The 18,148-nt window shown below is 38.4% G+C and overlaps 1 long non-coding RNA gene across 8 annotated transcripts in view; it reads left to right on the forward strand.

The window, feature by feature from the left end:
* LOC105373456 (uncharacterized) overlaps window positions 1-18,148 on the forward strand; it is a 529,181-nt gene that overhangs the window by 283,892 nt on the left and 227,141 nt on the right. The window lies entirely within an intron of this gene.

Here is an 18,148-nt window from a genome sequence, read left to right on the forward strand (position 1 = left end):
TTCACCTCAACCTTTGTTAAAGCATGAAATTTTCTTCTATGAAATACTCTGTTCCCCCTCAAGTCCTGATGCCTGGCAACTTCTGATGGTCTCTAAGAGGCAACCTCTTTCCTCTTTGTCCTAGATGCAATTATTGAACCACCCGGAATCCATGCAGCTATACCTATCCTTCCCTCTGGATCTTGGCCATGTGTTCTTTCTAGACTAAAGATCTGGGCAAGAGCTTGAGCTGGTTCCACAGTTACGGTGTCAATTTCGCCACTTCTGGTCTCCACTATAGTTTGAGGAGTGTTGTGCACGACACCAGCTGACAGAGAGAGGTTGACTGGACCCCGGGGTCTCTAGTCCAAGGAAGCCATGAGTTAATGGATTTTTACCAGTGAGAGACAGGACAGAAAAAAGCCAGTGGAAAAATTATTCTTCCTTCCCTTATCCTGCTTATTATTCTGAGAACAGGTAGTTAATATTTTCTCTCAAGATGATATGAGAAAAAGAACAATCATTCCTATTTATCACAAAACTTGCCACATTGGTAGTGAGCCCTCTCATCTTTGTATTTGTTCTCTCCTGACTTCTCCTCTGTCCTGGCTCTCTGGGGTCACAATGGCCTCAGTCTCTGTTTCTGGGCAAACTGAGCTGATACCTCCCTTGCCAACTCAGATTAGATTGATCCCCCTTGTGTTCTTTCACTTTCCATACACTATTGCAATTATGTATTTATGTGCCTCTGTCTCCCTCTGGATTACATATCTCTTGAAGTCAGAGACCACATTTTACTAAGTTTTAAATCTCTGGCACCTAGCACAGTGCCTGGCATAAATTAGAACTCTGAAAATGGTAAATATTTGCCAGATGAATGATTATAAAAATTAAAAAGAGCTAGATTTCCTCTGGTCAGGGAGAGATTCCAACAGACCTGAAACCTATTTTAAATTGTTCTCCATTTCAATGTGTGGTCTCTTTTGGCTTTACCTAAATTGAGTCAGGAATGATGCTAGCAATTGTATCACACTGTAAGATTATAAATACTATCCAGTAACTATAATAATGATTACTACAATATGCTGGGCACTGGTACGTTACCATGCTACATTAGATATTTCACATATATAATCTCATTATTGCAGCAAATATATGGGTTGTTATTATATACTTGGGACTGCTTATAAATGTAGCTGGACAACTGGCCTTTACTGAAGACATTCTTGAGAGTACCTTAAAAGTTGTTTTGCTTATAATTTTTAAAAGGAGGTTTTCTTTAGTGGTTAACACTTCATCTGCCAATCAGTTTGTAAATGCCCAATGGCAGAACCACCTTAAAAAAGAAAACAATCACTTCCGCCTTAATTAACATAAATGGGACTTTACACTCTAACATTCTCCCTCCACTTTCTGCCCATATGAATGCATGAGTTACAGTTTGTCATGAGCACAGAACCTCAGAGCGAGGCACCTCAGTCACCACACATCTTCCTGGTTCCACTGAGACTGGTAATATAGAACAGAGGGATTTATAACCAGGGAATTGTGGACAATTATGAAAATCAACGTTGGGTTTACCCAGTTCTAAAATCCCTCAGAAATCATGTAAATACTTTTCATGTGCATCTTAAAGGTGCAATTTTCTACAGTGAGGCTTACGTTGAATTCTCAAACATGTTAAGAATCACTGATTCTAAGTGAACCTCCAGCTTAGGGTAGGCTATGAAGAATGGAGACAGCTCTCTGCCTTGGAGTTTTCTGCTGTGCAGTTGAGTTTTGAATGTCCAGGGACTGTAGGAATAAACTTTCCTGATCACTGTCACTTTAGATACTTGAGTTGAAGCCGGGGCACAAAGGAGCTCATGGTATGTGCTTTTTTCCCTGAAAAGCTGTAAGAATCTATAGGACCCAGTCTTTACTCTCTGCATGTACTGCCCCTATTGTGGCTTTGTTGTCAGGATTTCATATTATGATGCAATCCAGTACAGCTTGTCCAAAACAATATTAGATTTATTCCATTTGTTAAAAGGAAGATATCACTAGTATGTGGTCCTTTTGGAAGAATCTCAACACTTTGTTCTAGGCATGGGTTCAATCACCTGTTGCTAAGATACTGCAAAAAAATATTCATTTTTAAATGTTTCCTTTTAATTAAATAAGCTGTTGCTTTGAAATATCAGTGAAAAGGTTGAATAGGTCTTTGAATCTTAGTTTTTTTTTCAACTGGCAGAGATATTTCTGAACATTTTAAATGGAGCAGCTGCTGTCCCAGTGGAACTTCTTGATGAGTTTAAAAGTGCACAAAATGGTGATATATGGTATATATATAACTGGATTGATAAAAATAACTGAGAGACTCAGTTCGATCATTACATGTTGAAAATACAAGTCACAGTCATTGATTCTGCATCAAAAACATGAGGAAAATTTAGATACAGTCCCATAATAACAATTAGTAACCCTGGAAGCCAGAATCAAACTGTTTGGATTTCAGAATGGTAATACAAAGCATCTACATCCAGAAGGGTCTAAGCCAGCACTTTGTAATCAAATGCATTAATATCTCTGTGACAGAACATTTTAGTCTTTAATATCGCACATTAATTCAGGTTTAACTCTGTGGACGAAACAGTTTGGTCAAACATAAGAAAACACTTAAGTTTTAAGATCATTTTAAATTTTTTTTGTATTGCAAATAAGTGATTTGGTGCCATAAAAATGAAGGAAAATCTAACAGTGCACATAATTTAGAATAATTTCAGGATGAATTTAGACTCCAAATGGCCTGGGCAGTAGCAAGTTTGGGTGCCTGGAGTCCCAGTGTTAGGAACTTTTAGGGAACAGATTGACCATTCACCCAAAGTCCATACTAGGCATGGTCAGCAGCGACCAGCAGGTAGGGACAGAGGTCCCAGACTATGAGTAGCCCTCGAAACGATGGATAAGAATTCAGAGACATTGAGACAGTTCTAGATCTCTCCCAAATCCAAACATTTATCTTACTCTGCACTGCTATTGCACTAGTCCAGGCCAGATCTTTAAAAGCCTACAACATTGTCTAGGCTGGTCTCTGTACTTCATTCCAGTCTTTTTAAACTCAATTAGTCTTTGATATATTCCTCCATTGTGGCCACTCTAGAGTGCAAATCTAATCCTCTCCCCTGATGAAACATTTCAATGGTTTCTCATGATCTGTAAGGTAAGTCACTAGACAAAAGGGCCCTGTCATGTCCCAATCTTGTCTCTAACCCCCTACCTCTCATGTTAGGTAGCACCAGCACAGTTCCTTCTGGACCGTGCTGATCAGTGTCTCCGTCTTCGGATGCTTCCTCACCACTTGCTTCTCCATGTGGCCAGTTCCCACCTGCTCTGCAGTACTTGACATCACTTTACTTCTGTTCCAGACCCCAGGCTAAAACATTAGAATTGCCTATTCGTAGACTTTCCTCCATCATCTGACTGTAAGCTTCTTGAGATCACAAATCTATTTCTCATCTATCATATTACCTCTCAGTGTTTAGCACAGTGCTTGGAACATAGTAAAAATTTATTGTTCAGTTCAGTAAAAATTTATTGAACTGCTGGTGGGATGTTGAGGCAGACAAAATGACGGAATCCAGGTAGTCAGAGAACACAAAGAAACATCACTTGGGAGCAAAACCATGAAAGATTCTCAATCCTGGGAGCGGCTATAGTCACAGACTCCCAGATGATTTGAACAAGGATGAGCATCCTATCTTGGAAGAGGTAGAAGGCTTATGACATAGTGAATGTACTACTCTGACACCAATAATATGGCCTGTCATTTCCTTTGCCCCTAAGGAAAGGGAAGCAGAGTGGGTTTAACCAAATGAAAGGGACTTACTTATGGTGAGTTTGGGTGGGTGGTGTGATAACTTTAGGAGAAGATTTTGGCAATAGACCCCCGTGTATCTATAAGAAAAAATTGTGTGGTGACTGGGGAAGATATGGTAAATTGACTTGTCATGATCCCTAAACTATGATCACTTTTGGTTAGCATTTCTTGCTACACTCACCCCCTTGTAGAGTAAGCTGGACTATCTCACATTGCAGTCATACCGTCATAATAGCTTAGGGATTTTAAGCAGAATGCACAGAAGTCCACTGTGATGGTATAGATGAAGCGCTTGCCCTGGGAACAAAAATCCATCCAAATCCTGGGTCTCAGATTTACTGTGCCCTTAGGAAATTAATTATCCATTCTATGCCTTCAGTTCTTCTCCTAAAGAGATATGATTACACTAACATTAAAAGGATGTGTTATTAAATAAAAAACTTGTGTGAAAGCATTTGTCAAGTAATAGACACTCAAATCTATGTGAATACCTTAGAACATTTTTGTTATCTGGATAATTGATATAATAAGAGATTAAAAAAATCATTCTATTATTAGCTAGATTTTTGATGTTATGGTAAGAAAATATGTTAGTTTAATCATTTCCAGAATCACTAGGTAAAGAATGACTTTATCCATCTGGAATGTAGCCCTAAAAATTTCTAAAAACTCTAACTTGATATATATTTGTTAATAAACACCTTCATGCTATTATTGTTTTATTTATTTTTTACAAAGTACAATGCATTTAGACCCTCTGTGACCAGGAATAATGTGAAATTAAATTCATTCAAAGTAACTTAACACAATTAATTATCAGAATAAAACCATCTAAATATAAGGCCTGCAAGAATTTACAGACAGTGAGTGAGCCAGGGACTTAAGGGATAATCATTAAATGGTAAGCACAGCATTGAGATTACAATTTAACAAGAAAATGAGGATGGGAAAGGTGGGGTAGAAAAGAGCAAATTCTCATCTACCATGAAAGGAGGATGTGGGGATAACATCTAAGACAGACAAGTCAAGAGACCAATCATACATATGTTGTTTAAAAATGTGAGATAAATGCCTGAAGAAATATTTCCAAGGTTTGAAAGTAGTTATACCTAGGAGAGAGTGGACTATGAACTGAGGAAGGGTATATAGAGAACTGTAAATTATTACATACATACATACATACATACATATGTCCATGTGTATATAATCCCTGTATATACAGTATATATAGTCACCATATATACTGTATGTAATCACTGTATATGTATATAAAACTGTATATACACACCCATATTTACATATATCTATATTTACCCATATAGATATATATACATAATATGCATTTTATACATGTTGACATTATATAATATTTAAAATCACAGGATACTTTTTAAAAATTAATTTTTGTAATCCAAGTCTGTATGTTACGAGCAAGAGAAAATATTTAGGTATACATAAACATACAGAGCGCAGTGCCTTTGATAACAAGGTTTCTGTTTAATACTATTGGATTTCTTGTCTGCCCCAGACATGTTCTATTGGCTCTTTCATTTGATTCTCTAATCATATGAAGTTGGTAATATTATCTCCATCTTAAACAGGAGAAAACCCTCCCATTAAGTAATGGAGTATGAATTTAACTGAGGTCTGCTTGAAGACTCAGCCTATGCTCTTTGAAGGTCAGTTGAATAGAGCTAAGAGAAACAGGCCAAGATAGCAATACATTCTTTAGTAAATGAGGCAGTGATCATATGACCAAACTCAAAATATGCTTGAAATCCCAGCATATGGTTGCACATTGTGGCTTCAAACTCCATGCTCTTAATTCCTAAACTATCCTTTCTGTCTTCTGAAAGGACGTGTAGGACCTGATACTCCTAGTCATCTTGAAAATGTTGTCCTTGGTATTACATGTATCATAGAATTGACCATATAAGCATTTTTTGTAAGTATTATTGCTCTTAGAAATCTGTTAAGTAATTTCATATTTTTTAGCCATTACCTTACTTATGAATGTAAAGCTTTCAATCTTACATCTGTTTTTACTTTGCAATCAGGAACTGTGACCGTGTCATTTGTAAAGCAGAAGTAAAAGATGTTCTATTGAAGAAAGAGGCTCTGGTTTCTTTATCTAGTATCAACATAAAACCAAGGAGGGTATCTATGTGACTGATCAGGTGTACTGACCACAGAATCTGTGTCAGAGTCATTTGTTGATTCATTCATGAAGTGCTGTAGTTTTTGGATACCTAGTTTGAGCCTGGCACTCATCCAATTATGGGAAAGTCATTAAAGAATAAAATAAAGTCCCTGCCCTCTTGGAGCTTACAAGATAAATGATTTGGGTGGTCTAGTTCTTCTTTACAAACGTCTTTCACCCTTTTACAGAAGGCAGTTAAGTTGGTAGGGGAATGAGGCAGGATAATTAGAAATACCTGCTGGGGCCCAAAGTGGGGCCTGTGGTAGCAGATTCCATACATATTCAGGAAGCTCACAGCTCAGTCTTTGGTAAAGTCACCTCTGGTGCCTAAAGACCTGAATTTCTAAGCAGGATGAGTGCATCTTCAATGAGTACTTTAACTGGTTATTATTCCCCAGTGCCTTTTTATTTGAAAGCCAGTGTCACATAGTGATATGTTTGGGGGCCAATATTCTTGGCTTTGAAATCCATCTATCTAGAGGTCCGGAGGCAGATTGTCTCAATTTTGTAATCTTAAAATGAAGGTAAAAATATATAACTTTCACAGTTAGAGGGGAGATATAATATACATGAAAAACAGAAATCAGTGTCTGGCAGACAATAAGTGTGACATAAATGGTAGATAATATGCTTATGGTTGCTATCACAACTTGTCTCCAAACAAGACCAGTAAAAACATGGTCTTTGGTATTATGTGTATCATGGAATTGGCCATATAAGGGCTTTGGATAATTATGGTTGCTCTTAGCCACCTTTTAAGTCATTTTCTCATATGTAGCTATTACCTTACTTAGAAATTTAAAGCTTTTGCTTCTCCCTCTGTCATCACTAACTAATTTCTTAGTCTGAGGGCTTGACACAAAATGAAAACGCTGCCATGCCTATTCTAGTCTTCATTTCTGCAGACGAAACATGTTCAAATCATCTGAATTTTTTAACGAAATAAAATAATAGTTATGTATATGGTAGAGTTAGTGAGTTTTAAAGCTTTACAGGACTTTAAACTCAAAACCATGTGTGTAGTAAGTAGCTGAAGCTGGTGAAGAAAAAAGATCCCCAGATTCCTACCCAGAGTTAAGTAGCAAAATGCACATGATAGTATCAAGGGGAAAATAAAAATATAAAAGCATATTTGGGTTGGATAATCAAGAATTGCTCTATCTAGTGGGTGCAACATTGTAAGCTTTGACTTGGGGGCCGATTTTGTTTTACCATTGTCAGATTCCGTGAAGTTCATGTTAGAGCAAGACACTGACATATGTCAAATGGGGACTTCCAAGCATGGCCTTGCCACCAAAGGCAAACTTCTTAAAGATGTTTCAACTACACTCCTGCATCCGTCCCTGCCAATTACCAGAAGGCTGGTGCAGACTTCACTGGAGCTCAACTCAAAGTGCCATTTCCTCAGAACATGGTTAGTCTTACACCAATGGAAGCCCATGGGACAAAACTCGATGGCTAGAGAGAAATATGAGGTTCAGGATCCTTCAACACAGCTTTTTGTATTCTCTACATTTTTAAATGCAGTTACCATTTTTCATTCTTGATGAGCTTAGTGGGAAATATTGAGTGCCGTGGTTCTCCTTGTCTGCTGGCCATATACTTTTCTGCACACTGGAGCCCTAGGGTACTGGGATGTGGGGACTATGGTGGCTCACTGCCTCGATATACAGGTACGACTTCTCAATTGGTTCTGAGGAGAAGGCAGGCAAAGCAAAACGTTAACGCTTTTGGAGCCTGGACAGGAAATCTTAGTGATCTGGGTTCCTTGCCTTTCCTTTTTCTAATCTGAAATACGCATAGATGATAAATTTATAATGAAGGGAGAACGGTCCTAGGCAGTGTCAAGGGATATAAAGAAGCATGATTTCTCCTTCATTTTCAGAATGCACTTGAGGCCTATACACATAAGTATTGATATAATTGACAACTAAGGTGGTAAATAATTCTTGAATATGATGCTGAACAAGTCTCCTCTTCCCAAATCACCTCAGGCAGTATAATTTAGGCACATGGTATGAGTCAGGAATGTTTTATCCTGCAAGTAACAGAGTCTGTGAGCAGCAGGGGTTTACACCAAAAGGGGTTTATTTTTCTAATAAATCAAGAAGCCTGAGGTGGGTAACCACTGGCTTTAGTTCAGTGCTCTAATCTTGCAAGTGTCAACTTCTTTATGATTTTCCTGTCCCACAAAGACAAGGGTTAGGGTCTTGATTTTAAAAGAAATCAAGAAAGAGTGTGCATGATTTTGAGAAGACCCTCCTCTGCTGGGATGATGCTGGACAAACAGCCAATTGAGGTATGGCAAAATTAATCGCCCTTGGAGGGACCTCCTATGCCATCTGCTGATGGATGTTGAATTTCAGACAACATGCTCCAACTCTCAGGTCTCCATCAGGGCTGCTGCACCCACAAACATCACATTTGTGCTTCAGGCTGGAAGAGGATGAAAGAGCAAAGGACCTGTGCCAACCAAGTCTTTCAAAATGACTGACTTTCCCTTTAGGCTCACTGGCTGAATGTGAATTGTATAAAAAGGCTTTGAAGGAAGGCTGGAAAACAAGGAAACAGGATTATCATAATTGGTCAAAATTGATTATAACCCATCGCTTAAGGCTGGACACATCACTGCTCTGAAAAAATTTGGAGATCTGTTGTTAAAGAATAAGGGGGAGATGGGTGTTGTGCACTCAATGCCAATGGATGTCACATTTTTTGTGCATTCTTCTAGGTCATTTGTCTTAAGTAGTGGAATAGATACTTCATAAGATTATAATCAATTGCTTATGTATTTTTCTTTTCTAATAAACGAATAGATCCTGGAGGGCAGGAACTGTGTCTTATTTTCCTTTCTATCATAGAATTTTCCACAGGGCCTAGAACATAAATGTTGCCTAATGTTCTATTGGATTGCATTAAATTAAGTACCTTGAGCAGAACATGTTGATTCTATAATTTTAGAATTACAGTACTAGAGTATCACAGTTTAGAGGAGTGAGTGGCTACATTTGATTTGTAGTATTTAAAAGGCTTCCCTGAAGATGTAGGATTTAAAGTGCATCTTGAGGAATGGATAGGGTCCAAGTCTGATTTAGTTTCATAACAACCATAGCACCTAGCCTAGAACAATATTTTTCAATAATGAGCCTACAGTAATATTTGCTGGATTGAATCTAATTTGAGTAGAAGGGGAACCCAGGAGGGAACCTTTACAAGGAAAAGTTCATAGGTAGAGAATGCAAACAATCCCACTGCCTTTCCCCTTACCTCCTCACCTACAATTCTGAGGTCATAAGTGTTATCTGATGTTCAAACCCCAGGTACTCCCAGGCTTTGGGTCTAAGTGGAACATATTTGTTTTCCACCTGCATACACTCAAATATCTGGTGTTCATTGAATACTAATTTGAAGCATACAAATGACAGATTTGGAAAATATAAGAGCACCTACTTTTGGTCAAACAGAACTGAGCTAGAGTCCTTTGCTGAGAATGCCTTCTATCCAGAGGTTGAATGGATCTCTGCCTTTTAAGTCCTTGAGAAGATCCTCCACTCCCAGTGTGTGATGCCATTCTGGCTTCTGCCTTATTCACAGAGGTCATGTCAGCAGAGTTAAATTCACCATGGCATTCACAAAGATTCAGTTGGATCTATAGACCAATAATAGTTAATTATTGATTTGGAACCAAATGACAAAGAAAGCAAAGAAACTCTTAGGTGGTTAGTTTGCTTTATGTGAACATAAGTCCATAATCATCAAGGTTTTTTGACATTTAATAAGCAAAACTAAAACAAAAGAATTTATTTTTGAAATTTTTCTACTTCCAAAAACTTTCAATAACACTGAAATTCCTGACACATTTTTATCACAGTGATTCTCCTTTTGCTAGAACAGGGGGGATAGCATGGATAGAGAATTAAAGATGATCAAAGTAGTAGAAAGGCTGAGGCTAACACAGAAGAATATGGGCAACCCTCACCTCTAGCCAAAGAATCTTGGTCATGTCTAAGCAAGCTGTCTTTGTTGTACTTGCCAGTTAGGCCTCAGTAACTCTCAAGTGAGGCCCTGCTGTCATGCTAGAGCTGATGGTTTGGAAATCTATTTCTATAAAATATTACTACTCTGTTTATTCAACACGGTGTTCTAAAAACACATTTCAGTTCACGACCAGCCTGGCCAACATAGTGAAACCCTATCTCTACTAAAAAAATGCAAAACTTAGCCAGGCATGGTGGCCCATGCCTGTAATCCCAGCTAGTCGGGAGGCTGAGGCAGGAGAATAGCTTGAACCCGGGAGGCAGAGATTACAGTGAGCTGAAATCACACCATTGCACTCCAGCCTGGTGGCAGAGCGAGACTCCATCTCACAAATATGTATATATATGTATATATACAAATATGTATATATATGTATATATACAAATATGTATATATATGTATATATACAAATATGTATATATATACACATTTTATGTACCAAGCACTGCATTCCATATGAACGTTTGTTTGCTTTTGAAGCAAAGAGCTCTTAATAATTATTACATAAATGTGGCCTGGCAAAGTAAATGTCACTTCCTATCATAGTATATTATGCAATAGAGAGGACTGTATGAATTAAAGATTGCATTTGACTGTTGATGAGATTGATGTGAAATAACAGTGTTTTAAGCCTGTTAGGAGATTTCTTTTCTCTTGAGTAAAAGAAATCAGGAAGGAGACAGTCCAGGGAGAGTGTGGTTGATGCATGCTACCATCAAAGTTCTAGGCCTCTTTCATGTTTCTGCTGCACTATCCTTAAACATGATATCCATCCTCAAGATCACAAGGTGCCAGCTTGGAAGTCTTGCTGTTACATCCATGTTATAGGAAGAAAAAAAGGAAGAGCAAGTGAACAAACAACACACCTCCCAACTGAGTCAGGGCCCTTACAGATTGCAGAGCATTTCTGCAATCTCTACCCAGAAACTTCTCCCCACATCTCATTGGCTATTCCTAGATGCAAGAAAGCCTGAGAAATGTTCCATAGCTGGTTACATTGCTATACACAATAATACAGAACTTTTGCTACTAAGAATGAAGAGGGAAAATGAACATTGAGCATGCAATTAGCAGTCTCTGCCACTAGGCTGTATGGGATAGAAGGGAAAACATAGACTTCACTGTCCCAAAGATGCCCACATTTACCAAACTAGTTTGTGGAATTACTTGACCAATCTTGGGTGATTCATTTCACAGTTCTTCTAGGTTTTCTCACCTATAAAATTGGAGCTTTTGGTGAAAATCTTGCAGGATTGTTTTTAAGATTAAATAAATTATTTCATAATTCAATGCAGTGTTTGGTGGCAACAGCTGTTGTTGATGTGTGTGTGTGTGTGTGTGTGTGTTTTATTGACTTCCTAATAAAATACTATGAAAACATGTACAATGATAAAAATTAAAGATTTTGACAAAAATGTCAAAATTTGAAAGGAATCTCCACCCACAGTAAGGCATAAAGAGTATTAAGAAAAGGAAAAAAACCTTCGTCAGGGTAGTGAAAAAAAGACTACATGCAAAAAGACAAGATACTTACTCCCCATTTCCTACTCTGGCACACTCAAGCTCTGTGTGAAACAGAAAATGAACAGATGTCACTTCCCCATTCAGAGGCTGACATCTGAAGCCATCTGGGGATGTTCTTTGTGTACTTCTACCAGTTATCATATAGCTCACCTCTGTTTGTCTTTGTACAAATGGTACCTTCTTAGTACGTTGCACCCAAGATGCCCTCACCATAATACTCCCTATAGCTTTGCCTTGTCTTATTTTTATCCTCAGCACTCATTATCATTGAATGTGCTATCTGTTTCAGTTATTTATTTATCTAGATTCTGTTTTCTTCTAGAACATAAAGCACTTTCACAAGAGATTTTTTGTTTTGTTCTGTTTTAGTCAGTATTGTATAACCAGAGCCTAGGAGAGAATATAGTAGGTACTCAATAGGCAGGTAAATTGAAGTATTTAACTTCTCATGCACTCATTTTACCTCTATTCTGCTTTACTTTTTCTCCCCATACCACTTACCACTGTGTATACACACACACACACACACACACACACACACACACACACCATATATATATATAGTGTATATCTACATATATGTATTTAACTTAGCTTTGTTGCCTCTTTCCTTTACTTTTTCAGTATTTATTTTAGGTTCAGGAGTATATGTGCAGATTTGTTATGTGGGTAGATTGTGTGTTGCTGAGGTTTAGTGTACAAATGATTTCATCACCTAGGTGCTGAGCAAGGTAACTAATAGCTAGTTTTTCAGCACTCACTCTCCTCTTATCCTCCCCCGTCAAGTAGTCTCCTGCATCTTCTGTTCCCCTCTTTGCCTCCATGTGTACGCAGTGTTTAGCTCTCACTTATAAGTGAGAACATGAAGTATTTGGTTTTCTGCTTCTGTGTTAATGGGCTTAGTATAATGGCCCCAGCTGCATTCATGTTGCTTCAAAGGACATAATCTCATTATTTTTATGGCTGCATAGTATTCCATGGTGTATATGTACCACATTTTCTTCATCTACCACTGATGTACATCCAGTCCACCACTGATGGACATCTAGGTTGATTCCATGTCTTTGCTATTGTGAATAGTGCTGCAGTGAACATAGGAGTACATGTGACTTTTTGGTGGAATGATTTATATTCCTCTGGGTGTGTACCCAGCAATGGGATTGCTAGATCAAATTGTGGTTCTGTTTTAAGTTCTTTGAGAAATATCTAAACTACTTTCTGCAGTGGCTGAACTAATTTACATTCCCACCAGCAGTGTATGAGCATTCTCTTTTCTCCACAACCTCATCAACATCTGTTATTAATAATAGCCATTCTGACTGGTGTGAGATGGTATTTTATTATGGTTTTGATTTGCATTTCTCTAATGATTAGTGATGTTGAGCATTTTTTTATATGCTTGTTGGCTACATGTATGTCTTCTTTGGAGAAGTGTCTGTTCATGTCTTTGCCCATTTTTTAATGGAGTTGTTTGTTTTTGCTTGTTGATTTAAGTTCCTTGCAGATTCTGGATATTAGACCTTTGTTGGATGCATAGTTTGAAAGTATTTTCTCTCATTCTGTAGGCTGTCTATTTACTCTGTTAATAGTTTATTTTGGTATGCAGAAGCTCTTTAGTTTAATTAGGTCCTACTTGTCTATTTTGGGGGTATTTTTGCAGTTGCTTTGGGAGATTTTGTCCTAAAATTGTTGCCAAGGCTTATGTTGAGAAAGGTATTTCCTAGGTTTTCCTCTTAACTGTAAACTCCTAGATTTTATATATATATACACACACACAGTTTTAGGTCTTAAATTTAAGTCTTTAATCTCTCTTGAGTTGATTTTTGTATATGGTGAATAGTTGGGGTCCAGTTTCAATCTTCTGCATATAGATAGCCAGTTACCCCAGAAACATTTACTGAATTGTGAATTCTTTCCTTATTGCTTGTTATTATCAACTTTTTCAAAGATTAGATAGTTGTAGATGTACGGCTTTACCTCGGGGTTCTCTAACCTGTTACACTGGTCTATGTGTCTATTTTTGTACCATTACATGCCGTTTTCGTTACTATAACCATTTACTGTGGTTTGAAGTTCAGTAGTGTGATGCCTCCAGTTTTGTTCTTTTAGTTTAGGATCACCTTGGCTATTCCAGTTCTTATTTGTTTCAATATGAATTTTAGATTTTTTAAAAGATCTGTAAAAAGTGACATTGGTAGTTTTGTAGGAATAGCATTGAATCTATAAATTTCTTTGGGGAGTATGGCCATTTTACAATATTTATTCCTCCTATTTATGAACATGGAATGGTTTTCCCTTTGTTGGTGTCATCTCTGATTTCCTTCAGCAGTATTTTGTAATTCTTGTTGTTGAGATATTCTACCTCCCTGACTTGCTGTATTCCCCTAGGTATTTTATTCTTTTTTGTGGTTATTGTGAATGAGATTGCATTCTTGATTTGGCTCTCGTTGTGGATGTTATTGGTGTATAGCAATGCTACGGATTTTTGTACATTTATTTTACATTTTGAAACTTTACTGGAGTTTATCCATTCTAGGCACATTTGGGGAGAGACTATGGGGTTTTCTAGATATAGAATCATATTATCTGTGAAGAGAGATGGTTTGATTTCCTCTTCCTCTCTTTTGATGCCTTTTATTTCATTCTCTTGTCTGATTGCTGAGGGTTATTTTTATTTCTGTGGGATCAGTGGTAATGCCACTTTGGTCATTTCTGATGGTATTTGTTTAGATCCTGTCTCTTTTTTCTTTATTAATCTAGCTAGCAGTCTATGAATCTTGCTTATTCTTTCTAATAACCAGCTTTTTGTTTTGTTAATCTTTTGTATGGATTTTTGCATCTGAATTTCATTCAGTTCAGCTCTAATTTTGATTATTTCTTTGCTTCTGCTACCATGGAGTTGGACTGCATTTGTTTTTCTCGTTCCTCTAGGTGTGATGTTAGGTTGTTAGTTTGAGATCTTTCTAATTTCTTGATGTAGGCATTTAGCATTATAAACTTTCCTCCTAATGCTGCTTCAGCTGTGTCTCAGAGATTCTGCTATGTTTTTTCTTTGTTCTCATTAGTTTCAAGGAATTTCTTGATTTCTATTTTCATTTCATTCTTAATGCAAAAGTCATTCAGGAGTAGGTTGTTTAATTTCTATGTAATTTTATGGTTTTGAGAGATCTTCTTGGTATTGTTTTCTATTTATATTGTGCTGTGGTCCAACTGTATGGTTGGTATGATTTCAGCTTTTTGAATTTGTTGGGACTTGCTTTATGGCCAAGCACATAGTCGACCTTAGATTATGTGCTGCGTGCAGATAAGAACAATGTGTCTTCTGTTGTTGTTGGGAAGACTATTCTGTAGATCTCTGTTAGATTCACTTAGTCAAATGTCAAGTTTAGGTCCTAAATATCTCTGTTAGTATTCTGTCTCATTAATTTGTCTAACATTGTGAGTGGGGTGTTTACATCTCCCACTATTATTGTGTAGTTATGTAAGTCTATTCATAGGTTTCTCAGAACTTGTTTTATGAATATGGGTGCTCCAATGTTGGGTGCATATATATTCAGAATAGTTAAGGCTTTTTGTTGAATCGAATGCTTTATCATTATGTAATGCTCTTCTTTGTCCGTTTTGATCATTGTTGGTTTAAAGTCTATTTTGTCTTAAATAAAAATAGCAATCTCTGCTCTTTTATATTTTCCATTTGCTTGATAGATCTTTCCTCATCTCTTTACTTTGAGCCAGCAGGTGTCATTGCATGTGAGATGGGTCTCGTGAAGACAGCATACAGTTGGATCTTGTATCTTTATTCAGTTTGCCACTCTGTGCTTTTTAAATGGGGGCATTTAGCCCATTGTAAATATTTGTATGTGAGGATATGATCCTGTCATTGTGTTTTAGCTGGTTGTTATGTAGCCTTGATTGTATAGTTGCTTTATAGTGTCAGTGGGTTAGGTACTTAAGTGTGTTTCATGGTGACAGATATCAGTCTTTTATTTCCATGTTTAGCACTTCCTTAATAACCTCTTTTATGGCATGTCTAGTGGTAAGGAATTCCCATAACATGTGCTTGTCTGAAAAATATCTTATTTCTCTTTTGCTTATGAAGCTTAGTTTGGCTGGATATGAAATTCCTGGTTGAAATTTCTCTTCTTTATGTATACTGAATATAGGCACCTGATCTCTTCTGTCTTGGAAAGTTTTTTTTGAAAGGTCTACTGTTAACCTGTTGGAGTTTCTTTTATATGTGGCCTGCCCCTTATCTCTAGCTGCCTTTAAGATTTTCTTTTATGTTGACCTTGGAAGTCTGATGATTATGTGTCTTGAAGACAGTCGTCTGGTGTAGTATTTTGCAGGAATTCTTTGAATTTCCTGAGCTTTCATGTCAATCTCTCTAGCAAGGTTGGGGAAATTTTCATGGGCAATATCTTCATATATGTTTTCCAAGTTGCTTGCTCTCTCTCCATCTCTTAGGAATGCATAGAGTTGTAGGTGTGGCCTGTTTACTTAATCCCATATTTCTTGGAGGTTTTGTTCATTTTTTAAAATTCTTTTTTAAAAATTTTGGCTGCTTGTATTGATTTGAAGGAGTGATCTTTGAGCTCTGAGATTGTCTCCTCAGCTTGGTCTATTCTGTTACTATGGCTTCCAATTATATTATGAAATTCCTGTAGTGAAATTTTCATTTCCAGAAGTTCAGTATGGTTCTCTCTTAAGATGGCTGTATCATCTTTCAACTCTTGGATCATTTTGCTGTTTTCTTTGGATTGGGTTTCAACCTTCTCCTGTATCTCATTGAGCTTGCTTGCTATCCAGATTCTGAATTCTATAACTATAATTTGAGCCATTTCAATCTGGCTAAGAACCATTGCTGGGGAGCTAGTGCAGTCATTTGGAGGTAAGAAAACAGTATGGCTTTTGGAGTTGCCAAAATTCTTGTGATACTTCTTTCTCATCTGTGTGGGCTTATGTTGTTTTGATCTTTGAAGTTGTTGTACTTTGAATGGGGCTCTTTGCGTTTATATTCTTTGATGCCCTTGAGGGTTTGACTGTGGTATAAATTGGGTTTAGTTGACAGACCTTATTTCTGGATGCTTTCAGGGGGCCAAGGCTCAGCTCAGTACTCCTAGAATATGCATGCTCTAACCCTGGGAGGCTGGGGCCAGGCCCACAATTTTGATGTCAGTCTCCTCAAAATCAAACATCTGCTGCACTGGAGGGGCTGATGTGTTCACAGTTCGATGGCAACAATGCTCTGACAGGTTTTCCAGCAAAAGTGCTCTGGTGGGGCAGCTGGTGGGCCATGGGATGGTGTGCTGCAGCAGGAGCACTGCAGGTGATTGTGTTCTGGCAGGGTGGTGAGGGATGCGGGCTGCAGGCAAGTATGCACAAATGGGCTGGTGGGGCTGTGGCAAAGTGTGTACTGACAGGGTGGCAGGGGGACCATGGGCAAGTGTGCAGTGGTGGGGCAGCTGCAGGCATGCACACAACAATGGAGTGGTGGTAGGTTCCCATGAGTGTTTGCAATGGTGGGTTGGTGGGGGTAGGCTGTGGGCAAGTGCACCTCAGTGGTGGTCTGTCTGCAAAAGCACTCTGATGGGTGGGCACAGGCTGCCAGTGAGAGTTAAGGTGGTGGCTGTAGGCAAGCACTTTGGCATGGAAGCGGAGGCTGTGCTGCAAGCAGATATGGCAAAGCAGGGACCCTGGGAGAGGCCAGCAGACAGGAGGGCATTCACATCAGACCGGTCCCATTCCATGGGCAAGAGAGTCCTGCTGTCTCCAGGTTAGCAAATAACAAAGGCTAAAGCCACCTAGAGAAGTATGGCAAACTTCAGGGGATGGGCACCCATGGCTATGCTCCACTGTAGCCATCCCCATGCCAAGCCCTCTAGGCTGCATGTGGTCTGGAGTTCTGTCTCCACCGCTCTCTGGGCAGTTCTCCCTACAAACTCAAATGTCCATGGGGGTTTTGGGGGTCCCTTACACTTAGTATCCTGGAGGTCCATGGTAAGAATACGCTGCTTCACAGCTATTTTACTCAGCCCTTCCCTAGAAAACACTTGGGGGCAGGAATGCATCCTGGTGCTTGGCAACCCCATGCAGGGTTCCCAGCTTCCTCCCCCTTCAGCCCTGGGCTCTGTGTTCTCTCTCTTTCTATTCTCAATGCCTTTTTTTTCGGAATATCTGTTCAGAGGGTACCAGTATACTTGATGTTTTGTTCTCTCTGAAGTTCTTCCTGGCTGTGGCTAGTCAGCCATCTTGTCTCTTCCACTGTGTGTGTGTGTGTGCTTGCATGTAATCTTCAGGAAGGCAAGAATGTTATCTATTTTATTTACAACTTTTTCCTAGAACATGTAATAGAACCTGGGATGTAGTAAGTATGCAATACATGTTTGTTGATCTCCTGACAGTTCCAGCAACTACATCTATTAGATATGGCAACTTATTGAATACACCTGGTCAGGAAATGTGGGGTGAGAAAAAAAACATGAGGCATTCCATCCTGAGGATATGACCCTTGCATTGGCATGTAGAACAGAAACAGGAAGGACACTGGC

Source organism: Homo sapiens, chromosome 2, assembly GCF_000001405.40.
Source record: "Homo sapiens chromosome 2, GRCh38.p14 Primary Assembly".
NCBI lineage: Eukaryota > Metazoa > Chordata > Mammalia > Primates > Hominidae > Homo > Homo sapiens.